Here is a 26963-nt window from a genome sequence, read left to right as displayed (position 1 = left end):
TTACATTTCAACTTCTTTTGTAGGCAATGCAAGTTCCTCCACCTTGCTCCAAGGTACTGGGAATGGCGTTCCTGCCACTCACCCTCACCTTTTGTCTGGCTCCTCTTGCTCCTCTCCTGCCTTCCATCTGGGGCCCAACACCAGCCAGCTGTGTAGTCTGGCCCCTGCTGACTATTCTGCCTGTGCCCGCTCAGGCCTCACCCTCAACCGATACAGCACATCTTTGGCAGAGACCTACAACAGGCTCACCAACCAGGCTGGTGAGACCTTTGCCCCGCCCAGGACTCCCTCCTATGTGGGCGTGAGCAGCAGCACCTCCGTGAACATGTCCATGGGTGGCACTGATGGGGACACCTTCAGCTGCCCACAGACCAGCTTATCCATGCAGATTTCGGGAATGTCCCCCCAGCTCCAGTATATCATGCCATCACCCTCCAGCAATGCCTTCGCCACTAACCAGACCCATCAGGGTTCCTATAATACTTTTAGATTACACAGCCCCTGTGCACTATATGGATATAACTTCTCCACATCCCCCAAACTGGCTGCCAGTCCTGAGAAAATTGTTTCTTCCCAAGGAAGTTTCTTGGGGTCCTCACCGAGTGGGACCATGACGGATCGGCAGATGTTGCCCCCTGTGGAAGGAGTGCACCTGCTTAGCAGTGGGGGTCAGCAGAGTTTCTTTGACTCTAGGACCCTAGGAAGCTTAACTCTGTCATCATCTCAAGTATCTGCACATATGGTCTGATGAAGCCTTTAAGTTAAATGACATTTGGATCTGTCTAACATATTTTCTTTTTCTTTTTTAAAAGCTATGTGGAAAGAAACTCTCTGTGGTTTATAAAATGTACATATAATAGAAAATGAAGGCTCACTGGGTTTTTTGACTTTATCATGGTGAGATTGTAATTATCTATGGTATATATGTATGCTGTATATACATAGCACATGGAGTATCACGGCCCCTATTGTTCCCCTGTTTCATCCAGTTGCACGGAGTATTGGCATGCGTGTAGTATGTTTAAGCAAAGTTCTCAGACTCTTTTAAAAACAAGATGGTAAACTTAAAACTTGGCAATTATACTATCCAGAAGAACACTTATAACTTAATTTATCAGAAAAATGCTCTAAACGGTTTCATACTTGATGTATTGATAACCAGCAGTAACCAGCATGTAGAGTCTTGTGATTTCTGTTATTCTTGGACACAGTGTGAGAATCTAAAATACAAAAGCCAGTTGAAGTCTTAGTGTTAGTCCTGAGGTATTTGTAATCATGAAGGATCAGCTTTTTCATTCCTGCTTATTATTTACCACACATACTATATGACCTTGGGTCTATAAAAAAATCATAACCCATAATAATTGTTATTTTCTTAAGGAAGGTAAAGGAGAGGCTTGTGATTTTTTTTTTTACACTTTCCATTGGGCACATAAGAGGTTCTTATTCATCTGTAGAGAACAAATTTCCAGTATTTTCGATTTTTTGCTTATTTTATATATCAAATAGACCATTAAAGAATGTTCTATAAACATTTTTAAATTCCAATTTTCACCAGGGGAGGAATATGTGATATGAGTGGAATGGCAAAAGGAAAATAAATCCACCTCAAATTCATTGATTCCAATGAGAAATGTCTATCTTTTAAATCAAGAGTAATACTATTGTTAACTATACCTTATGTTTTTGTATAGTTTGTTTTTAAATTTAGAATATTTTTTCCATCTTGCTCTGAGCTTCCTGACCGATAGTATATAAGTAAAAAAAATGCATTTATGCTACTTATTTATATCTTGTAATTCCTACACATTGAACCCTTTTCCCCTTCTTAACCTTGTCCGTCTGCCTGAGTCTTTCCCAAAACAGATAGTTCCTAGGCCTGTATGGTGTTAAATAACACGGTGAGGAATTTCAGTAGGTTATCTCCAGCAATCTGTCTTTTGGGAGCTATAGTGCAAAGGCCAAAGCCCATTACTATAAAGACCCTCTTGGAGGACTAAGAAGGAAGATACTAATTATGATAAAGGAACTATAAAACTTTTAACCTCAACAGAATTTGTAATGTCAGAACTGGAGAAATTAAAATCAGTATTAAATTTTTTAATTCCTAAAATAATATATGCATGGTTGAAGAGTTAAAAACAAGTAACTTTGAGAGCACAGTATGAGATAAATAAAAAAGGCTAAGAATACATGATGAGGCACATTCCCCTTCTGAGGAGAAAGCGAAATAACATGTCTGTGCATTGACCCATTCATTACATTTCATGTATCTTAAGCAAAAGAGCATGATTTTCTCTCATTGCTAAAAAGAGTTGCTTTAACTCATCCCTGGATTTGGTGGGGAAAGGGTACAACTCCTGATTTGCTGTTTCACTTTGAAACAACACAATTTGTTAGATACTTAGGGAGATATACTGTTGAATTTGCACAGGATGTGACTCTGTTTATACATATTAACAAATTTCCTTTTGGATTCCTTAGCAGTTCATCAAATTAGTATTAAATTTTTAAATTTAAAACTAGCATGAAGGGACATGAAATATTTGCAGTAGGTGGATCTATGTAAGATGTTTGGGTATGGCATTAATAGCTTGACAAAGATTTGGGGAAAGGTGTTAAGAATGAGTCCATCTCAGCCAATAGTGCTTGGTGTATAATTCAAGAACAGAGAGTTTTCCATCTTGAAAAAACATGGAAAGTAATGCTCTATACCCATATGTATTAATAAGAGCATTTTCCTTCTTGCCGTTGATCATTTCAGATGATACCACAATATGAGTATAATTTTTTATTAATCTTTTTTCTGGTAAAATTTTAGCAATATTGTACAAATGCTTTTTTTAGGTTTTACTGTAAATATTAATCACCACGTCACTTCAGAGACTAGCCTTTTATTGCTGAATTAAATGACATGCATACATTGATAATTATATATCTGTATTTTATTAAAAAGTACTTAAAATTATATTAAAATATGTTATTAAACCCTTTTATGATTTTGGAGGGTAATCATTTTAATGTCTAAAAATATTGATCCAAGAATAAGCACACACATGCACACCCCAAACGCAAATTCTGTACCTCTCAAATACATGGCAGAAAGAAATGGGCCTGCTGTTCATGTTTCATGTGTTAAATGTAATTTCTTGGTGTGTTGACCATGTCATTGAAGGTGAAGGCCCTGACAAATGTTGAACACATGAAAATTTGAATGTGAGAGGAAAGGGATGGGGTGGTATGTTTTGTTTTGGGTCCAGGGGAGAAAGGCAAGGTTACAAGAATGAGTGGCTTGCACCACTGACTAGTGATGACAGATTACTTCTATGCCCCTTGACTAGTAAACATTCCAAGGGACATCGCGATGGGGTGAGGTTGCTGCTATCAAGACCAGTCACATTTTGAAAATTAACACTTGCTTCCTTACAAGCTGCCTTCCAGAGGTCAACAGCTTTTCACAAGTGAGGCACCCAGTTGCTGACCCTTGATTTCTGGAATGTAAGGGGTCAGGAATCCTTGGTGGCCCCCAGAGAAGGTTGGGGCACAGTGTAACCTATATAAGGAAGGATCATACTCACTCTTTACATCAATTAGCAAAATTTTGAGGAAAAAGAATCTCACTTTTAAAATGTAAATAGCTCTTCATTACCCCTCCAGACTTAATCCTACCAGTAACTCACACCTTAGTGTGAAATTAATAAACAGCAGCTTTGGAGATAGCTGGAGGTTTGACTTAGAGGAAAAAGTAATTTTTGTAGCAGGACAATTCTGGGAAGATTTGTATGGGAAGGAGAAGGTGCAAGAAGAGAGATCCCTAACTAAACTCTGCAGTGTCCCATGAAGTCCTGGTGCAGAGCATTAAAAATAATCATTTCATAAACTTCTTTCAGGAACCTTGGTAGAGGTGGTGGATGCTACCTACCCTGATGCTGTCTCTAATTAGAGAGGTTTGTAAAGATTCCTTTGTTGCAAAGTGTAACACAGTGTTATTTCCTCATGAGAAATTTATTGGCTCATCTACATGAAGTTTTTTCTAAGCTTTCCCTTAAGAACTAATTGTATTAAATTATTACCATGTTGTGTTTTAATCTCATTGTTCATCCTTTCTAAAAAGAAATGCTCAGATAAGTTGAGAGTAAGGTTAAATATATGAGCAGTTAAGTACTCATACATGATTACAGCATTCTAAGAGTTCAAACCTTAAAAATTATCAGTGCTAGAAATCGACAAATATATTCAAGTATACAAACATTCAACAGATATATAAACTTAGTATCCCTCTACATGCTGATATATTTTCAAATAATGTGCTTTCTTTTCATTGAACTGTGGTATGATGAGAATAACATGTCCTCGGGAATTAGAGAACTTAGTTTGAGACTATGGATTTCTCAATCATGATTTTGGGTAAAAAAATTAGCTGCTTTATGTCTCAGTTTTGCTATGTGTGAAAGGAATGGCTGGGATGATAATTGTTAGTATTCCTTTTAGTTTCCAATTCATATGGTCCTATTATATAAATATTTAGCTTAATATTGGGAAACTAGTTTTATAAAACTATTATATCTTTTGGAATATATTCTGTTTATTTTTGGATATATATATATATATACTGTATCTGTGGCTTTACAAAGAATATAACACTATCAGTATTATTTTCAACTTGTTGAATTATGTGAAATTTATCCTTTAAATGGAACTGTGCTTTAGTTTTACAGGATAAATTTTAGTATTTTAATATCAGAAGGAAGCTATACTTAGTAACGTATTTGCTACTTTATAGTGAATAGTAAAAGACATTAATAAAATTTCTTTTTCATGATGCTCTTAATTGCATGGCATTAAATTATTTTGTTTTGAAATAAGTATAGCAGTCTATTATAATATATGGAGATCATTCCAAGTCCATTCAAAATACATTTAAATCCTCGAGAAAACAATTGTGTCTTTTTGAATAATTTTATTCCTACTGAGACTCAGATACAATAATATGAGGCAGTTTATTACTCTGCAGTTCACTGAGTTTATACAAGGCTGAATCAACACACACATCCTATATCCATATTTTTAAATCATATTAATTACATCACTAGAATTACTTAATAAAAAGACGAGATTTTTCTAAATAACACCTATATTGAGATACAATTAACATGCCATATAATTCATCTATTTAAATTGAACAATTCAGTGGTTTTAAATATGTTCACAGAGTTGTGTAACTATCACCACAATCAATTTTAGAACATTTTTATCACTGCAAAAAAACTCCATGCCCATTATTAGTCATCTTCCTTTTCCCTCCATTCCTTCCTTATCACCAAGTCCTAGACAACCACTGATCTGCTTTCTGTCTTTATAGATTTGCCTGTTCTGGACATCTATGTCAAGGGAACTATACAATATGTGGTCTTTGGCACTGACTTCTTTCACTTAGCATAATGTTTTCAAGGTTCATTCATGTTGTGGCATGTATTAATATTTCATTCCTTTTTAGTGCTGAATAATATTTTGTTGTGTCAATTTACCACAATTTGTTTATATCTTCATTAGTTGATGGACACTTGGGTTGTTTCCACTTTTTAGCTGTTATGAATAATGCTGCTATAAAAATTTATGTACAAGTTATTGTATAGACATACATACACTTTGATTTCTCTTGGCTATATAGCAGTGGAATTGGAAGGTTCTGAGGTCACCTTTTGAGGAACCACCAGACTGTTTTTCAAAGCACTTGCACCATTTTGCATGCTTACCAGCAATGTGTGAGGGTTCTAGTTTCCCCACATCTGCACTGACGGTTGTTATTATCAGTCTTTTATTACAGCCAGCCTAGTGGGTGTGATGTCTCGTTGTTTTTATTTGCATTTCCCTGATGACTCATGACATTGAACTTATTTTTCTGTGCTTTATTGGCCATTTGTGTATCTTCTTTGGAGAAATATCTATATAGATCCTTTGACCATTCTTTAATCGGGTTGTCTTTTTATTATTGAGGTGTAATAATTCTTTATATATTCTAGATATAAGCTTCTTATCAGATATATGATTTGCAAATATTTTCTCCCATTCTTTGAGCTGTCTTTTAGTTGTATTGATTATGTCTTTTGCAGCACAGAAGCTTTTAATTTTGAAGAGGTCCAATTTATCTATTTTTTTTTTTAAATTTTGTTGTTTATGTCTTTGGTGTGAGGACCAAAGCATTTTGATGAGCTCTTTCAATCAGCCTTTTGACATTCCTAGTAGTAGTAGTAGTAGTAGTAGTAGTAGTAATATAAATGTATTTTGAAGGTGCTTTTCAGGTGTATAAATTTAATAGTACTTGATAAATTACCCCTCTTCCCAACACACCTGGATAGTCTTGGAGAAATAAATGATTCCTTCAGTATCTTAAAGGAAGACAGAAGGATTCCAAAGCCATCAGAAACATTTTATTACCATAAGAAATGGTAGGCAATTTCAATATTTATTAAATTAATAAATATTAAGTATTGACCATTTCCTTGGCATCATTTTAGTCATTTGGGATACAATAGTGAAGAACACTGTTGGTATAACCAAACATCTTGTAAAAGCTGATTTGCTGGCAAAGAAATGTATATATATACATATATATATATATATATATATATATATATATATATTCATACTGCAATATATCACAGTTGGCAGGAAAAAAAAATTATTGCCTCTTGGCTTTTCTATGAGTTGGTGCCCTCGCCCTTATTACTATGTTACATATCCCAGATGGTCACTGCAAAATGTTTGCTTCTGTGCCAGGGTACAACAGGGATGCATTACCACCTTAACTCTGAGTTTGTTTTGTGGTTTTCTTTGGAAACCCTAACATCGTTTAAAATTCATTTTTTTGAATTTGGCTGTTTACAGCACTGTAATAAGATATTTCTCTATTAATAGCAGGAAGTGAAAACCGTGCTTGTTTAGGGCTTGGGAAAATTCCTGTACATTTTTCTTAAAGGTATTTGGTGAAATGGATTGCAGAGATTTGCAGATTCCTTTTTCTTAATTTGCCTAAATGAATTTCAAGGGAAAATTTGTTGAACCATATGTTTTTCAAACAATTGAAGCTCTCACTCAACAATAATAAAGAGAATCTTAAAAAGCACTTCTATCTCCAGGCACGGTGGCTCACGCCTGTAATCCCATCACTTTGGGAGGCCGAGGTGGGTGGATCACCTGAGGTCAGGAGTTAGAGGCTAGCCTGGCCAACATGGTGAAACCCCATCTCTACTAAAAATACAAAAATTAGCCGGGCATTGTGGCACAAGCCTGTAATCCCAGCTACTCAGGAGGCTGAGGCAGGAGAATCGCTTCAACCCAGGAGGCGGAGGTTGCAGTGAGCCGAGATCGTGCTATTGCACTCCAGCCTGGGCTACAAGAGCAAAACTCCATCTCAAAAAAAAAAAAAAAAAAAATGGCACTTCTATCAAGTAGTGTACAAAGCCCTAGTAGTCCATTGCCTTGGGGTAGTCCATTGCCTTGGGGAAGTTTGGCCAAGAATGAATGAACATTATGGTGGACCCGTTGTAGCTTTTGTTCATTTTGTCTTTCTAAGTTTGATAACCTTGGTATATGGGGAAGAAAGGAACTAGAAATTGTGTATGTTTAAATATTTGCGGTCTACTCGGTTTAACCTTGAGGATACCAAGAAGACAGACACAAAAACATAAAAATATAGAACTGGAAGGTCCTTAGAGATCAAATAGGAGATAGTTGTGTGGAGACCCATGTGACCTTCAGAGGTCACCATTGTGACCCATCTACAAGCTTCAGCAACTTCAGTGACAGTCCCCTTGGCAGGCTTCATAAAGCATTTTCAAGCTGCCTTGTCTTTCTTCATATTTTTTTTTCTTAGTCCTGGATGTCCTTTCTCACCCACCTTCTTATTTTCAAGGACTTACTCAAGGACTTTTGTCCTCAGTGAAGACTTTCCCAATTTCTATTTCTCTCATCTACCTTTCCCCAGGAGAAATCAGCTCTCCATCTAAAATATTGTCACAGTGCTCTGTGCCCTCTTGAAGAACATACCTAAACATCCCCTTTTCATTTAGATCAACCAGTCCAGCTATAATGGGAGTCCTCTGGGGCAGGAGCTATATCTCATTTACGTATTTGCCACAGGACCTAGCAAAGATAAAATGATTAATAAAAGAGGGAGTACATAAATAAATATGTGATTAAGTGAGTAAAGCAATGAATTTTGTAGGCTTTGGAATAAAACCTCAAATTGGGAGGTCTGGAGGTTTTGCTTGGTCAGCTGCCCATTTGCCATATCAGAAGAGACAAAGAGGACTATAGATTCCTCACAAAAAGACAGGAAAGGAAATGCTTCTTTTTCTTTTCTTTACTTTTTTTTTTTTTAATTTGTTTTTTCCCCCTGCTTGAGCAGATTCTTATGAACAGAGGGTTGGGCCTGACAGCTAAATAAGATACTCCTCCTAAAATTGTAGTATTTTATCATCAATATCTTCCAAAGCCATTAGGATGTTATATGAATCTAACAGAGAACTACTCCTAAGGGAAGAAGGTAGTTCTCTGTATGCAACTTGGACATCATTCCATCTAGGGAGAACTTCAGCTGTAGTTTCAGGAATTGACAATTTCTGTTGCAGGTACCCCCTAGAGTCTAGTTTAGGAATAACATCAGGAAAGAGAGGCTTTTTATGTCCTAGGGCATCCAGCTTGCCACAGATGTATCATTGATAGCAGTGAGACAGTTTATGTGACAGAGAAGCCCAAGCTTCACAAGAGATGGACATATTATATCCTGGTAGGTATGGGCCCAGGGTCTCTGAAGGGATTGATGTGTTAGGTTACTAACATGGTTACTTCTAGGTTATCTCTGCAAGTGAGTTGATATTGCAATAAATATTATTTCATCTAGAAAAAAGTACTTGTTTTCTTATATAGAATAATAAGAGTATCTAGACCACTCTCTAATACCCCATAGATTAGAGGTGCTCTGTCAGACAAAACATTTTTTTCTCTCTAGGGAGGGATCCAAGACATTTTGGAGAAAACCTCTCTTCTGAGAAAAAGCCACATTGGTGGTTGTGGACCCAGAAACTGATGCTGTGTGAGGATACATCCTTTAGATGAGTGAGGCACTCCATATTGGGGCATGCATGCTCATTCTTGCTTTCTGCCTCATTCCCTTTTCTCTGGAACGTATGGGACTACTTTGGCTTAGTATTTGCTCAGGTTCTTATGGTAAGAGCACCTAAGAGATTGGGGATAAAATAGGCATAGACTGAGAAGAGGAGATATAGAGTAGGCAGGAGGCCTTCCAGAGTTCCCTACCGCAGCTTTTACTATAGCTCTGTTTTGTGGGTACCAGATATCTGCCCAGATTAATAAAACTGTATTTGGTTTCTACATTTTTTCCCTATTCTTCATGTGTGTGATGCATCTGTCAGAATTTCAGGGGGAGGGATATGAATGACACCTTAAGTTCCTAACACATGTTTACTTGTTTACTCGAAGTTCAATCATTCATTTATCCCTGCATTTAGCATTTGTTGAGTACTTGCTAAGTGCCATAATCTGTTGCTGGAGATGTGGTGATGAGCAAGGAAAGTTGTTCTTTTGGAAAATTTCAGACTCATCAGAAGGTCACATGTGCAAACACATAATCATAATACAATGTGATAAATGTACAAAGAGAGGTGTATTAGTTCCTTTTCTGTTCCGTATACAGAATACCTGAAAGTGGGTAATTTATAAAGAAAATAAATTTATTTCTTACAGTTATGGAGGCTGAGAAGTTCAAGGTCAAGGGACCACATTTAATAAGAGCCTCCTTGCTGGTGAGAGCTCTCTGAAGATTTCTGAGGCTTTGTAGGACATCACTTGGTGAGGAGGTTGAGTGTGTTGACATGCTAGCCCAAGTGTCTCTTCCTCTTCTTATAAAGCCACCCATTTCCTTCTCATGATAACCCATTAATCTATTTATCCATGCATGGATTAATCCATTCATGAGGGCTTTGCCCTCACTTCTTTTTTTTTTTTTTGAGATAATAACACATTTTAATTTTGTCGTGAACTTAGCAGAAATTTTATATTCATAAATTTGACAGTCTTGGGTTTTTTGCCATAATTTTTTTAAATTTTACTTTAAGTTCTGGGATACATGTGCTGAACATGCAGGTTTGTTACATATGTATATATGTGCCATGGTGGCTTGCTACACCTATCAACCCATCATCTAGGTTTTAAGCCGCACATACATTAGGTATTTGTCCTAATGCTCTGCCTCCCCTTTTCCCCCACCCCGCAACAGGCCCCAGTGTGTGATGTTCCCCTCCCTGCGTCCATGTGTTCTCACTGTTCAACTCCCACTTATGAGTGAGAACATGTCGTGTTTGGTTTTTTGTTCCTGTGTTAGTTTGCTGAGGATGATGGTTTCCAGCTTTGTCCATGTCCCTGCAAAGGACCATGAACTTATTCCTTTTTATGTCTGCATAGTGTTCCATGGTGTATATGTGCCACATTTTTTTATCCAGTCTATCATTGACGTCTTCCCTCGCTTCTTAAAGGCCCCACCTCTCAATAATGCCACACTGATGATTAAATTTCAACATGAGTTTTGGAGGGGACATTCAAACCATAGTAAGAGGTATTTACAAAGAACAGTAGGAAAATTGGAGACTGTGACTTAGGTTATATGGGGGAGATGTGAGGGATCAAGAATCAAGGAGAGCTGTGAAGATGGGGGACCATTTGCTAATAGCTAGGGAAGAGTGATGGAAATGGTAAGTGAGTATTCTAGAACAGTACTATTCAATAGAACTTACTGCAAAGATGTAAATATTCTACACTGGCCAGGACAGTAGCCACTAGACCATGTAACTACTGGGCACTTGAAATGAGACTAGTCTGCCTGAGGGTCTAAATTTCAAATTTTATTAAATACTAATTAATTCAAATTTAAATGTAAGTTTAGCCCCATGTGGCTAGTGGCTACCATGTTGGGCAGTGAAGCTTTAGAAACTCTGCAAAGCAGAAAGTAATATGCACCCTAAAAGAAATGTGAACAATGACAATGGGAGAACAGTTCCCTGAATGCACAGCTCACCCTCTGTGTGGATGATGCTTCTGGAGGGTTACTATGAGTAGTCATGACTCTGTGACTATATGAAAACTGACTGATAATGCTAGGTGACTCTGCCAGGCAACTGCTTCATGACAAATCAGTGTATTGAATGCCTAACCAGTTCTGTCCTCCATAGTTAGTCTTATCACACAATTGTCCAGAAATGACCCAGGACACATGTCATTTCCTTTCTATAAGGTAGTGGCCAAAAAGTTTCCTTGGGGGAGTTATACATTGTAATCTCCTTTGACAAGGTTGGTTTTGGGAAGAGCAGCTGTTAATTCTGAAGAGGGGAGACTGACACAGAACATGTACAGTGTCTGACTGACCTCCTAGATGAGGAGATGCTGATGCCCTGCTTTTTTCTCCTGGTCCTATGCTCATTATCTCCATATAATGCCCACTGTTGAGCCACTGGAGAAAAGCTTCTCTGCTGTTGCTTCAGCCTCTTCCCTTCTCAAACCAGACCAAAACCCAGCTAATCGTTTGCTGGTGAATGTGATTCTTTCTCTTGCCTTACCTCTATTAAATTAAATGCATTAAGAAGACAATGCCTCCCAGGGGAAGACAGAAAAAAATTAATGCAGAATTTCCCTCATATGAGGTACAAAAAAACCCCACTAGAATTTACACAGCATTTTATATTACACACCACAGATTCCCATGCATTATTTCATTTTGTCTTTCCAACAATCCTGTGAGATGTTTTTATCCTAACTTTGTATGTAAGAAAACTGAGGCTCACAGAAGTTAAAGACTTACCCACAATCACTTGGCCATCAAGGGAAAAGTTAGGACTCAGCATAGGTCTTCTGATGCCTAAATGGCATCTGTAAACATGGAAGGAAGGAGATTGGGCAATAATAATTATTAGGGAAATAATTCTTACTGAGAGAGAAGGAGGGAGAAGAGAAGGGAAGGGAAGAGGAAAGAGAATGAAGGTTCTTTCTCCTTGCTGACTTTTCCTGTCTTGTTGGAGATCCAAGACACTTTGGGGAAACTCTGCTTTGCTCTGAAAAAAACCATGTGGATGGCTGTTGACCCAGCAGCTAGTGGGTGCCATCTTAGGGGTGAAGTTCCTGTCAGTGAAAGCATTGATTGGTAGAAGCAATCACCAAAGCAAATATCCTTCAACAAAACTTCCCTTCATCTAGCTACTTATTTCCATCCAGTAAACAACACCCTACCATGAGTGGGGAGCTGAGGAATTCAGAGCTGGGGCACAGCCAGTGGGAAAGTCTTGGTGATTTTTTAAGAGTTTACTATTAAAGATTAGAAAGGGGGAAATGAACCTGTCAGCTTTTGCTCTTACGATATTAGTTCCTCTAGAGATATATATATGTACAAAACTTCCAAATGCTATGATAAGTTATTTCTAATGGTGAGGTTTCCAGAGAAAACTCTTTTTTCCAGACCTCTGTAAACATTTTTATTTTATTTTTTTGAGACAGAGTCTTACTCTGTCACCGATGCTGGAGTATAGTGGCACAGTCATGGCTCACTGCAGCCTCCACCTCCTGGACTCAAGCAGTACTCCTACCTTACCCTCCCAAATAGCTGGGAGTACCAGTGCAAGCCACTATGACTGGCTAATTTTTGTAGGTTTGGTAGAGATGCTGTTTGAACATATTTTTAAAATATGTTGCGATAGTAAAGATAAAGATAATAATATATTATAAACTTATTTCTGGGAGGGAAATCTTATGATTGTTGACATTAACTAATATTCATATAACATGAATTGTGACCCCAAAGCTACTTAACATATTTTAGTCCCCAAAACCTAAATAAGGAAGGTACTATTTAGTATGATTTTATAAATATGTGATTAAAACAAAAATAAGGGACTGACCTACCAGGGCTACCCAACTGGAAAGGAGCAAAATCAGGATTTGAACTCAAGTCCATCTGATCCCAGACTTGTTTTCACTGTGTTGTAAAACATAATGCTAGGTAACAAGAGAAAAAAACAGATAAATTGGACTTCAAATTTAATATCTTCAGTGCATCAAATGACACTATTAACAAAGTGAAAAGGTAACCCACAGAATGGGAGAAAATACTTGCAAATTATCTATATGATATGAAATTAATATCTAGAATATATAAAGAACTACAACTCAACAACATCAAAAAATGAACAACCCTATTAAAAAATAGGGAAAGGACTTAAATAGACATTTCTCTGAAGAAGATATACAAATGGCTGGTAAGCACATAAAAAGATGCTCACCATCACTAATCACTGGGGAAATGCAGATCAAAATCACATTGAGATACCACTTTATACCCACTTGGATGATTAACATAAAAGCAAATAAAAAAACTAAAAAATAACTTTTGGTGAGGATGTGGAGAAATTAGAACCATTGTGCTTTGCTGCTGGGAATGTTAAATGATGCAGCCACTACGGAAAATGATATGAGGGTATTTTAAAAAATGGAAAATAAAATTACCATATGATCCAGCAATTTTACTTCTGGGTATACACCCAAAATCATTCAAAGCAAGGACTTGAATCAATATTTATATATTCACATTTATAGTAACATTATTCTCAATAGCCAAAATTTGAAGAGACTGAAGTGTCCATCAATGCATGTGTGAGTAAACAAAATGCGGTATTCATGTCTACGAATTCCTCATCCATGGATTCAACTAACAATGGATCAAAAATATTTGAAAAAAAAATGGATGCTTGCATCTGTACGGAACATGTAGGCCTTTTCCCTTATTATTCCCTAAACAATACAGTGTAACAACTATTTACGTAGCATTTACATACACTGATTAAGCATTATATGTAAACTACAGATGATTTAAAGTATATGGGAGAATGTGCACAGGTTCTATGCAAATACCACACCATTTTTTATAAGGGACTTGAGTACCTGTGGATTTTGGTATTCAAGGAGAGTACTGGAACCAATCCCCCAGGGATACTGAGTGATGGCTGTACATACCTTGGAATATTATTCAGCTTTAAAAGGAATGAAATTCTGACACATTACAACATAAATGAACTTTGAAAACATTATGCTAAATGAAATAAATCAGACACAAAATGACAAGTATTGTATAATTCCACTTACATATACCTACAGTAGTCAAATTCACAGAGACACAAAGTAGAATGGTGGTGGTCAGGGGTTGGAAGGAGAGGGGAACTGGGAGTAAGTGTATAATGAGTACAGAGTTTGAGTTTGGGAAGATGAGAAAGTTCTGGAGATGGATGGTGGTGATAGCTGCACATCAATATGAAAGCACTTAATTCAATAGCACTGTACACTTAAAATGGTTAAGATGCTGGTACAATCAAAGCACTGTGCTAATTTTAGTAAGACAGACTTAAAATAATCCTCATGGCTTTCTGAAAGTCAGTTGCACAATTATCTGCCTATTAATATTTTCAATCCTTAACAAATATTTATTGAACATCAACTGTGAATCAGGTATCATTCTAGATATCAGGAGTATTGTAGTGAACACGATGTAGAACTTCTCTGCACACATACAGTATAAAATCTAGTGGAAGAAACAGTAATCAAATAATAACTCAAATAAATGTAAACTTACCACAGTGTAAGTGTTCGTGAAAAGGGCATTGATGGTGCTATGAGAACAAATGCTAGGGAGAACGTGATTGATGGAAGAAACACTTTCTAGGTCTTGATTCTAAACAGAAGACATAAAAATGTACACTTCCATCCTGGACACATTGTATTGCTGCCTCTAATATAATATGAGTAACAGTATTTTCTTGAGTCCCTCATTTTTGCAAGCCAAGTGTATTTGTGATATTGCTTTACTAAGAAAGCATGGGAAATGTTTCTTGTGTGACTGCCAAAGTATGGCATTAAAAACAGAAGCCTGATACACAAATGCAAGTGTATTTGATCCTCACCTAACTAGCATTTAATTCTCCTGGCAATCAAAACAGGCTATCAACATTCTGTAGTAAATCTCAATAGTCATTTCTATTAGATCATAAGTAAGTAAGAAGGGGAAATCATTTCATTTTATTTGTAGGTAACAAGACACAGGAAAATTCCATTATTTCTGTACTTAAGTGTTGCTCACCTGTAAGAGACCAAATGATTCATATATATATTTTTTTTCATTTTCAGCTTTTATTTTAGATACAGGCGGTACATATCTTAAAACAATCATTTGAAAAAGTATATAAGAAGATATGTAAACTTTATCCAAACATTCCCTATGTTAGAAAGGAGAGCAGGAGACAACTTATTATTTACCAAAAGAAAATTAAGTCCCTTATAAATGGATCACTGTAGCCCCCCAAAAAACTGAGAGCACAAACTCTTTCACAAGTCTCCATTTACCTGTTTACTTATATATTTAACTTTTTAAAATCTAAGATGTGTCATTAGTTATTGAACCAGGAAGAAAACATGATGCCAATTAAACTTGATACAATGCCTTATCCATAGTCCTGTGCAGCATGTCATCAGTCACATCAGTCCCTCATTACTTTGAAGTCTTCTGCTTTCCATTGCATTGTTTGGCATGCAATAGTCTATCCTTTTGCATATGTCTCAAACAAACTCTAAGTTGATTTCTACTAGTTTGGTTCCATAAAGTGCTTTATTGTTGCTGTAAGAAAATGTGGAATTGACACCATTCCTTCTGTGACCTTCATTAATGTCAAGTTTATGCCCCACCTTTTTCTTTCTAAGCCTTATGTGCACAGTAGTCTTTTGTTTCAATGCTGCTATGTAACCTTGTTGAAGACATTTTATTTGGTAAATTCAATCCTTGCTGTACCAGCAGTGCAAAGAACTCAGTGAAAGTGATTAAAATTGAACAAGCATGCTGCCTGCCCTACAGTGATTGTAAGATGCCATCAACTCTGAAAAGCATTCCTATTTGGAAGATTTTTGAAATTATTTAAAAATTACATAGCCTGAGGCTGGGCGCAGTGGCTCATGCCTCTAATCCTAGCACTTTGGGAGGCCAAGGCAGGTGGATTGCCTGAGCTTAGGAGTTCGAGACCAGCCTAGGCAACATGGTGAAACTCTGTCTCTACTAAAATACAAAAAATTATCTGGGTGTGGTCAAGTGTGCCTGTAATCCTAGCTACCTGGGAGGCTGAGGCAGGAAAATTGGTTGAATCTGGAAGGCAGAGGGTGCAGTGAGCCAAGATCACACTGAGAGACAGGACTAGCTGGATTTCCTAGGCCAACTAAGAATTCCTAAGCCTAGCTGGGGAAGGCAATAGCCCTACCTTTAAACATGGGGCTTGTGACTCAGCTCACACCCAACCAATCAGGTGGTAAAGAGGGCTCACTAAAGTACAAATTAGGCTAAAAGCAGGAGGTAAAGAAATAGTCAAATCATATTGCCTGAGAGCACAGGGGGAGGGACAATGATTGGGATATAAACCCAGGCATTCAAGCAGGGAGCGGCAACCCCCTTTGGGTCCCCTCCGATTGTGTGGAGCTCTGTTTTCACTCTGCTAAATCTTGCAACTACACACTCTTCTGGTCCATGTTTGTTCTGGCTCGAGCTGAGCTTTCACTCACCATCCACCACTGCTGTTCGCTGCCATCACAGACCCACCGTTGACTTCCACCCCTCTGGATCTGGCAGAGTGTCTGCTGCATTTCTGATTCAGCGAGGCACCCACTGATGCTCCCATTTGGCTAGAGGCTTGCCATTGTTCCTGCATGGCTAAGTGCCCAGGTTCATCCTAATTGAGCTGAACACTAGTCTCTGGGTTCCACGGTTCTCTTCCATGACCCATGGCTTCTAATAGAGCTATAACACTCACCGCATGGCTAAAGATTCCATTCCTTGGAATCCATGAGGCCAAGAACCCCAGGTCAGAGAACAAAAGGCTTGCCGCCCCATCTTGGGAACTCTAAGAACAAAGACCCACCGGGTAACATTTGGTGGCCTCGTATGGGGATTCTCCAAAGTGGTGAGTAATATTGGACCATTTTCCCTTGCTGTTCTTTCCTATCCTTCCTTAGAATTGAAGAAAATACCAGGCACCTCTCGGCCAGTTAAAAACAATTGGCATGGCTGCTGGACTTAAGACTCAGGCTGAGGCTTCCTGGGAAAATGCTTTCTAACAACCCCCAACCCTTCTGGGTTGGGAGCATTGGTCTGCCTGGAAGCAGCTTCCGCTTTCACAATTTTCCTGGGGAAGCTGAGGGCCTACTAGAGGCAGAAAGCTGTAGTCCCGAACTCCCGGCATTGGCCGACATCATGGTGCAGCCAGAAGTCTCTACTCAGTCGCCCATGCATGCGCCCCTACCTCTCCTTCTGACCCTTACCTCCTGGGTCCCGACCATGACTTTCTTGAAAGTGTAGCCCCAAAATTCTCCTTACCTTTGAATCTACTTCCTCCAATCCCTGCCTCCTAGGTACTAATGCTTCAGACTTTCAATTCCTCTCCCAAGTATTAGAGCAAGTTGTATCTCCAAAGGGATCTAAGGAAGCTCAACACTGTGTCCTTGGGCAACTAGGCCATGAACCCAGGGAGTCTTGCCCCTGGTGTCCCTCCCAATTTAGGTATGCAGCTCTTGAATGGGCAGTTATGTGAGACCCATTCCCCATCATCCTTTTCAGAGCCCCAAGTTTGTAAATGGCTAGGAGGATTGCTCTCTCATTGTGTAAGATGCTCTCCTCCCCCATTTCTACCCAGCTTAACATCCCCTCTCCTCCCCCACCCTGGCAATATAATCTCCAAGCCTTGGCTCCTTGGCCAGGGCCTTAGAACTGATGACCCAGTACTTTAATAACTGGAACTGGGTCTACAACAACATAATAGATTAGGATGAAAACGAATTGAGTAAATTTAAGGGAGGCGCATATTCCTATAGTGGCAAATGGGGGCAATGAGCAAACATCCTTCTGCTGTTTTCCCAAAATCCATCTACAAAAAGAGAGAGAGAGAGGAAAGGGAGGGGAGAGAGAGAGAGAGGAAGGAGAGAGAGAGAGAGGAACAAGAGAGAGAGGAACAAGAGAGAGAGGAAAGAGAGAGAGAGGGGAAAGAGAAAGGCAGAGAGAGAAAGAGAGAGAAGTAGTAAAGAAAAAAACAGTGTGCCCTATTCCTTTAAAAGCCAGGGTAAATTTAAAACCTATAATTGGTAATTGAAGATCTTCTCTGGGACCCTATAACACTCCAATACCAAACAAGGTCATAGCCTGAATCACTGAGACCACTGACAACCAGTAGCCTTCATATCAAAAATCCTTAACCCAGTAACCCACGGATGGCCCAAATGCATTCAATCTGTAGCAGTAACTGCTTTGCTAACAGAAGAAAGTAGAAAAATAACTTTTAGAGGAAACCTCATTGTGAGCACACCTCACCAGTTCAGAACTATCCTAAGTCAAAAAAAGCAAAAAGGTAGCTTACTAACTCAAAAATCTTAAAGTATGGGGCTATTCTGTTAGAAAAAGATGATTTAACACTAACCACTGATAATTCCTTTAACCCAGCAGATTTCGTAACAGGGGATCTAAATCTTAATTACCATACAAAGGTCCAAACAAACCTAGGAGGAACCCCCTTCAGGACAGGACAATAGGTGGTTCCTCTCACGTGATTGAGGGGAAAAAAACCACAATGTGTATTCAGATATTGATAGGGAAACTCTTGTAGAAGCAGAGTTAGGAAAATTGCCTAATAATTGGTCTGCTCAAACGTGGGAGCTGTTGGCACTAAGCCAAGCCTTAAAATACAGAACCAGAAAGGAACCATCTATACCAATTCTAAGTTAATTTAGACTAAACAAGGTCTTATTAATAGCAAAGGATAATTGAAATTCCAGACTTAACAAGGTTTTCAACAAAAGTAAATTTTGCTAAAAGTTCACAGTGTAACCTGTATTATCCTAATTTCTAATCTTGTGGCCTTAGACAGTTTAGTCCACACACATAAAGGAAGTTTGCTTTGGAAAAAATGGTTATCATCTTCAAAAAAAACTCTATCTCAATCCTGACTCAGAAGATTACCTACACCCTCTCTGAAATGAATTTGCATAAGAACTGTTGTTTATGGGAATGCATCTTGATGGGGCAACTGGGTTGTTACGAAATACTCAGGAACCCAGCCCAGCTCTAGAACTCACCCTGAGAGCAAAGGCTATTGCCAATATTTTGGGCATGCTGGTAAAGGACCACAAGAATCCAGCAGCCCAGAACCCTTTCTCTGTGGTCAATAGAGGTGGGAAAACAGGTGCAGAACTGCTACATCGGTGAGCATAACTAATCCAATAAGCAGAGGTCCATGGTTGGTTACACACCCTGGAAAGGAGTAAGCATTAGGACCATACAGGACGCTCTAGGACTAATGCTCATCAGAAAATAACTAGGGGTTCTGGCATCCCTATGTTCTTTTTTCAGATGGGAAACATTCCCCCCAAGGCAAAAATGCCCCTAAGATGTATTCTGGAGAATTGGGACCAATTTGACCCTCAGACGCTAAGAAAGAAATGACTTATATTCTTCTGCATTACTGCCTGGCTACAATATCCTCTTCAAGGGGGAGAAAGCTGGCCCCCTGAGGGAAGTATACATTATAACACCATCTTACAGCTAGACTTCTTTTGTAGAAAGGAGGGCAAATGGAGTGAAGTGCCATATGTACAACCTTTTTTTCATTAAGAGACAACTCGCAATTATGTAAAAAGTATAAATTTATGCCCTACAGGAAGCCCTCAGAGTCTACCCCCCTGCCCCGGTGTTCCCCCGGCTCCTTCTCCAACTAATAAGGACCCCCCCTTCAACCCAAATGGTCCAAAAAGAGATAGACAAAGGGGTAAACAATGAACCCAAGAGTGCCAATATTCCCTGATTATGTCCCATCCAAGTGGTGGGAGGAGAATTCGGCCCAGTCAGAGTGCATGCAACTTTTTCCCTCTCAGACTTGAAACAAATTAAAATAGACCTAGGTAAATTCTCAGATAACCCTGATGGCTATACTGATGTTTTACAAGGGTTAGGACAATCCTTTGATCTGACATGGAGAGATATGTTACTGCTAAATTAGACACTAGCCCCAAATAAGAGAAGTGCCGCCATAACTGCAGCCTGAGAGTTTGGCGATCTCTGGTATCTCAGTCAGGTCAATGATAGGATTGCAACAGAGGAAGGAGAACAATTCCCCACAGGCCAGCAGGTAGTTCCCAGTGTAGACCCTCACTGGGACACAGAATCAGAACATGGAGATTGGTGCTGCAGACATTTGCTAACTTGCATGCTAGAAGGACTAAGGAAAACTAGGAAGAAGCCTATAAATTATTCAATGATGTCCACTGTTATAGAGGGAAAGGAAGAAAATCCTACTGCCTTTCTGGAGAGACTAAGGGAGCATTGAGGAAGCATACCTCTCTGTTACCTGACTCTATGGAAGGCCAACTAATCTTAAAGGATAAGTTTATCACTCAGTCAGCTGCAGATATTAGAAAAAAAACAAAAGTCCACCTTAGGCCCGGAGCAAAACTTAGAAACCCTATTGAACTTGGCAACCTCAGTTTTTTATCAGAGAGATCAGGAGGAGCAGGCAGAATGGGACAAACGGTATAAGAAAAAGGCCACTGCTTTAGTCATGGCTCTCAGGCAAGTAGACTTTGGAGGCTCTGGAACATGGAAAGGCTGGGCAAATCAAATGCCTAATAGGGCTTATTTCCGGTGCAGTCTACAAGGACACTTTAAAAAAGATTATCCAAATAGGAATAAGCTGCCCCCTCGTCCATGCCCCTTATGTCAAGGGAATCACTGGAAGGCCCACTGCCCCAGGGGATGAAGGTCCTCTGAGTCAGAAGCCACTAACCAGATGATCCAGCAGCAAGACTGAGGGTGCCCAGGGCAAGCGCCAGCCCATGCCATCACCCTCACAGAGCCCCAGGTATGCTTGACCATTGAGGACCAGGAGGTTAACTGTCTTCTGGACACTGGCGCAGCCTTCTCAGTCTTACTCTCCCGTCCCAGACAACTGTCCTCCAGATCTGTCACTATCCAAGGGGTCCTAGGACAGGCAGTCACTAGATACTTCTCCCAACCACTGAGTTGTGACTGGGGACCTTTACTCTTTTCACATGCCTTTCTAATTATGCCTGAAAGCCCCACTCCTTTGTTAGGGAGAGACATTCTAGCAAAAGCAGGGTCCATTATACACCTGAACATAGGAGAAGGAACATCTGTTTGTTGTCCACTACTTGAGGAAGGAATTAATCCTGAAGTCTGGGCAACAGAAGGACAATAAGGATGAGCAAAGAATGCCCGTCCTGTTCAAGTTAAACTAAAGGATTCTGCCTCCTTTCCCTACCAAAGGCAGTACCCCCTCAGACCCGAGGCCCAACAAGGACTGCAAAAGATTGTTAAGGACCTAAAAGCCCAAGGCCTAGTAAAACCATGCAATAGCCCCTGCAATACTCCAATTTTAGGAGTACAGAAACCCAACGGACAGTGGAGGTTAGTGCAAGATCTCAGGATTATCAATGAGGCCGTTGTCTCTCTATACCTAGCTGTACCTAACCCTTATGCTCTGCTTTCCCAAATACCAGAGGAAGCAGACTGGTTTACAGTCCTGGACCTTAAGGATGCCTTTTTTTGCACCCCTGTACATCCTGACTCTCAATTCTTGTTTACCTTTGAAGATCCTTCGAACCCAACGTCTCAACTCACCTGGACTGTTTTACCCCAAGGGCTCAGGGATAGCCCCCATCTATTTGGCCAGGCATTAGCCCAAGACTTGAGCCAGTTCTCATACTTGGACACTCATGTCCTTCAGTATGTGGATGACTTACTTCTAGCTGCCCATTCAGAAACCTTGTGCCATCAAGCCACCCAAGCGCTTTTAAACTTCCTCACCACTTGTGGCTACAAATTTTCCAAACTAAAGGCTCAGCCCTGCTTACATAAATACTTAGGGCTACAACTATCCAAAGGCACCAGGACCCTCAGTGAGGAATGTATCCAGTCTATCCTGGCTTATCCTCATCCCAAAACCCTGAAGCAATTAAGGGGGTTCCTTGGCATAACAGGCTTCTGCCAAATATGGATTTCCAGGTACGGTGAAATAGCCAGGCCATTATAAACACTAATTAAGGAAACTCAGAAAGCCGATACCCATTTAGTAGAATGGACACCTGAAACAGAAGTGGCTTTCAGGCCCTAAAGAAGGCCCGAACCCAAGCCCCAGTGTTAAGCTTGCCAACAGGGCAAGACTTTTCTTTATATGTCACAGAAAAAAACAGGAATAACTCTAGGAGTCCTTATACAGGTCCAAGGAACCAGCTTGCAAGCTGTGGCATACCTTAGTAAGGAAATTGATGTAGTGGCAAAGGGTTGGCCTCATTGTTTATGGGTAGTGGCAGCAGTAGCAGTCTTAGTATCTGAAGCAGTTAAGATAATACAGGGAAGAGATCTTATCGTGTGGACATCTCATGATGTGAACGGCATACTCACTGCTAAAGGAGACTTGTGGCTGTCAGACAACCATTTGCTTAAATATCAGGCTGTATTACTTGAAGGGTCAGTGCTGTGACTGTACACTTGTGCAACTCTTAATCCAGCTGCATTTCTTCCAGATAATGAAGAAAAGATAGAACATAACTGTCAAGAAGTAAATGTGCAAACCTATGCTGCTCAAGGGGACTTTCTAGAGGTTCCCTTGACTGATCCCAAACTCAGCTTGTATACTGATGGAAGCTCCTTTGTAGAAAAAGGACTTTGAAAGGTGGGATATGCAGTGGTCAGTGATAATGGAATACTTGAAAGTAATCCCCACACTCCACGAACTAGCGCTCAGCTGGCAGAATTAATAGCCCTCACTCGGGCACTAGAATTAGGAGAAGGGAAAAGGGTAAATATATATACAGACTCTTAAGTATGCTTACCTAGTCCTCCATGCCCACACAGCAATATGGAGAGATAGGGAATTCCTAACTTCTGAGGAAACACCTATCAGACATCAGGAAGCCATTAGGAGATTATTATTGGCTGTACAGGAACCTAAAGAGGTGGCAGTCTTACACTACTGGGGTCATCAGAAAGGAAAATAGAAGGGAACCGCCAAGCAGATATTGAAGCCAAAAGAGCTGCAAGTTGGGACCCTCCATTCAAAATGCTTATAGAAGGACCCCTAGTATGAGGTAATCTCCTCCAGGAAACCAAGCCCCAGTACTCAGCAGAAGAAATAGAATGGGGACCCTCACGAGGACATAGTTTCCTCCCCTCAGGATGGCTAGCCACCAAAGAAGGAAAAATATTTTTGCCTGCAGCTAACCAGTGGAAATTTCTTAAAACCCTTCACCAGACCTTTCACTTAGGCATTGGTAGCGCCCATCAGATGGCCAAATCATTATTTACTGGACCAGGCCTTTTCAAAACTATCAAGCAGATAGGGCCCGTGAAGCATGCCAAAGAAATAATCCCCTGCCTTATCGCCATGCTCCTTCAGGAGAACAAAGAACAGGCCATTACCCAGGGGAAGACTGGCAACTAGATTTTACCCACATGCCCAAATGTCAGGGATTTCAGCATCTACTAGTCTGGGCAGATACTTTCACTGGTTGGGTGGAGTCTTCTCCTTGTAGGACAGAAAAGGCCCAAGAGGTAATAAAGGCACTAATGAAATAATTCCCAGATTTGGACTTCCCCCAGGATTACAGGGTGACAATGGCCCCGCTTTCAAGGCTGCAGTAACCCAGGGAGTATCCCAGGTGTTAGGCATACAATATCACTTACACTGTGCCTGGAGGCCACAATCCTCCAGAAAAGTCAAGAAAATGAATGAAACACTCAAAGATCTAAAAAAGCTAACCCAAGAAACCCACATTGCATGACCTGCTCTGTTGCCTATAACCTTACTAAGAATCCATAACTCTCCCCCAAAAAGCAGGACTTAGCCCATACGAGATGCTATATGGATGGCCCTTCCTAACCAATGACCTTGTGCTTGACTGAGAAATGGCCAACTTAGTTGCAGACATCACCTCCTTAGCCAAATATCAACAAGTTCTTAAAACATCACAGGGAACCTGTCCCCGAGAGGAGGGAAAGGAACTATTCCACCCTAGTGACATGGTATTAGTCAAGTCCGTTCTCTCTAATTCCCCATCCCTAGATACATCCTGGGAAGGACCCTACCCAGTCATTTTTATCTACCCCAACCACAGTTAAAGTGGCTGGAGTGGAGTTTTGCATACATCACACTCGAGTCAAACCCTGGATACTGCCAAAGGAACCCAAAAATCCAGAAAACAACGCTAACTATTCCTGTGAACCTCTGGAGGATCTGTGCCTGCTCTTCAAGTGACAACTGTGAGGAAAGTAACTAGAATCGTAGATCCCCATGGCCCTCCCTTGCCATATTTTTCTTTTTACTGTTCTCTTATCCCCTTTCATACTCACTGCACCTTCTCCATGCCACTGCACTACCAGTAGCTCCCCTTACCAAGAGCTTCTATGGAGAATTCGGCTTCCCAGAAACATTGATGCCCCATAGTATAGGAGTTTTTCTAAAGCAAACTCCACTTTCACCGCCCACACCCATATGCCCCTGCACTTCAGGCCATACATTTCAATCCCTGTATCTTTAACCTCCTTGTTAAGTTTGTGTCTTCCAGAATCAAAGCTGTAAAACTACAAATGGTTCTTCAATTGGAGCCCCAGATGCAGTCCATGACTAAGATCTACTGTGGACCCCTGGACGGGCCTGCTAGCCCATGCTCCAATGTTGATGACATCGAAGGCATCCCTCCTGAGGAAATCTCAACTGCACAACCCCTACTACACCCCAATTCAGCAGGAAGCAGTTAAAGCTGTTGTTGGCCAACCTCCCCAACAACACTTGGGTTTCCCTGTTGAGAGGGGGTACTGAGAGACAGGACTAGCTGGATTTCCTAGGCCAACTAAGACTTCCTAAGCCTAGCTTGGGAAGGTGACTGCTCCCACCTTTAAACACGGGGCTTGTAACTCAGCTCACACATGACCAATCAGGTAGTAAAGATGGCTCACTAAAATACAAATTAGGCTAAAAGCAGGAGGTAAAGAAATAGTCAAATCATATATCACCTGAGAGCACATGGGGAGGGTCAATGATCGGGATACAAACCCAGGTATTCGAGCAGGGAGTGGCAACCCCCTTTGGGTCCCCTCCGATTGTGTGGAGCTCTGTTTTCACTGTTAAATCTTGCAACTGCACACTCTTCTGGTCCACGTTTGTTCTGGCTCCTGCTGAGCTTTCGCTCACCGTCCGCCACTGCTGTTCACCGCCGTTGCAGACCCGCCATTGACTTCCACCCCTCTGGATCTGGCAGGGTGTCTGCTGCATTTCTGATCCAGCGAGGCACCCACTGACGCTCCCGTTCGGGCTAGAGTCTCACCATTGTTCCTGCATGGCTAAGTGCCTACGTTCATCCTAATCGAGCTAAACGCTAGTTGCTGGGTTCCATGGTTCTCTTCTGTGACCCATGGCTTCTAATACAGCTATAACATTCACCACGTGGCCCAAGGTTCCATTCCTTGGAATCTGTGAGGCCAGGAACCCCAGGTCAGAGAATAAAAGGCTTGCTGCCCCATCTTGGGAGTGGCCCGCCACCATCTTAGGAGCTCTAAGAACAAAGACCCACCCAGTAACAGCACCACTGCACTCCAGCCTGGGCAACAGAGCAAGACTCTGTCTCAAAAAAAAAAAAAAAAAATTACATAGCCTCAGACCTCTGAAATATGGCACATTATAAATTATTTAAAATATTTTACAGAATATGTATGGAAAGTCTATCTGATTGAAAGTTAGATAGAAATGAAAGTCATGTGGTATCTGATCTCAGTTTACTTGCTTCATGTTCCACCTCCATTTTGCCTCTCAAACTCATGAAGCCTTTTCTTCCCTAAGAAAGCAGTGGCTTTGCAGATACAGTATCTTTGAGGTATTGTCATGAACTTAAACCTGCTATTCATATTCTTGACTAAGCTCAGTGAGAGAGATACCTCCAGTAGAGGTTAGGCAGCTTTTCTTCATGATCTGTGGACACTTGGCAGAAGTGCTGATGACAGTTGCAAGAACACGATGCACAGCAGTATTCTTTACAGCAGTTTAATCTGTGTCATCAAATCCCCAGAAACCATGATTAATAGCAGCACTTTAGTTTGTTCTCAAGTTGTATATTTGACAGTGGTGAACTTTGATCTACAGTCCCACTTTACAGAATCATTTTCACAAAAACATTTTGTGTGATCCTTTCATCTCATTAAGCACCCCCCCAAAAAATCCACATACGGGACATTTAATGCCATTGCTGTAAGCTGTGTGTTTAGTATACCATTTAAGTACTTTTAAAAATGTTTGAAACTCAATTTATTTATTATATTTGCATGCCAAATTGTGCTATCCAAAAACATGGACCTCAGATCATGTAGACATAAATGAATGAATGAATGAATGAATGAATGAATGAATAAAATTTTATCTTCTATAACCTTCTACTGGATTACTAAAGGATAGAGGGGTGAGTTGTGATCAGACATTGAGTAGTCAGAATCACACAAGGCAATCTTACCACCCAGAAGTGGCCAGTGAAGGATTTCTCAAGGTCAGATTTAATGAGGAACATGGAATGGAAAATTAATCCTATGGGGAATAATGAGTCCATGATTTAGTCTCAGATAAAATTATTTTTCTTTCATGTAGTTAGCTGGGTTAAATTAGTATTTTTTCCTTTTTCCCCCTCTATTCTTCACCCTATACATTCCGGGTGTAGAGAATACTCTTTCTATTCTTTTTATAATTCTCTTTCTGGAGCATCATTGCCCAATAGAAATAGAAGATGAGCCACATATGCCATTTAAAATTTTCTACTGGCCACATTAA

General features: G+C 40.1%; 1 protein-coding gene across 1 annotated transcript in view; it reads left to right on the top strand.

Moving 5' to 3' along the window:
* The window catches only part of TBX18 (T-box transcription factor 18), a 32103-nt gene extending 27166 nt beyond the window's left edge, over positions 1-4937 (top strand). The window contains exon 8 of the mRNA NM_001080508.3: positions 24-4937. Within this exon, the coding sequence (NP_001073977.1) occupies positions 24-748 (725 nt within the window). The 3' untranslated portion in view covers positions 749-4937. The remainder of the gene's footprint in view (positions 1-23) is intronic.

The sequence above is a fragment of the Homo sapiens genome, chromosome 6 (genome assembly GCF_000001405.40).
Source record: "Homo sapiens chromosome 6, GRCh38.p14 Primary Assembly".
Lineage (NCBI taxonomy): Eukaryota > Metazoa > Chordata > Mammalia > Primates > Hominidae > Homo > Homo sapiens.
Note: the sequence above shows the minus strand (reverse complement) of the source record. Positions and strands in the feature narration are given on the sequence as shown.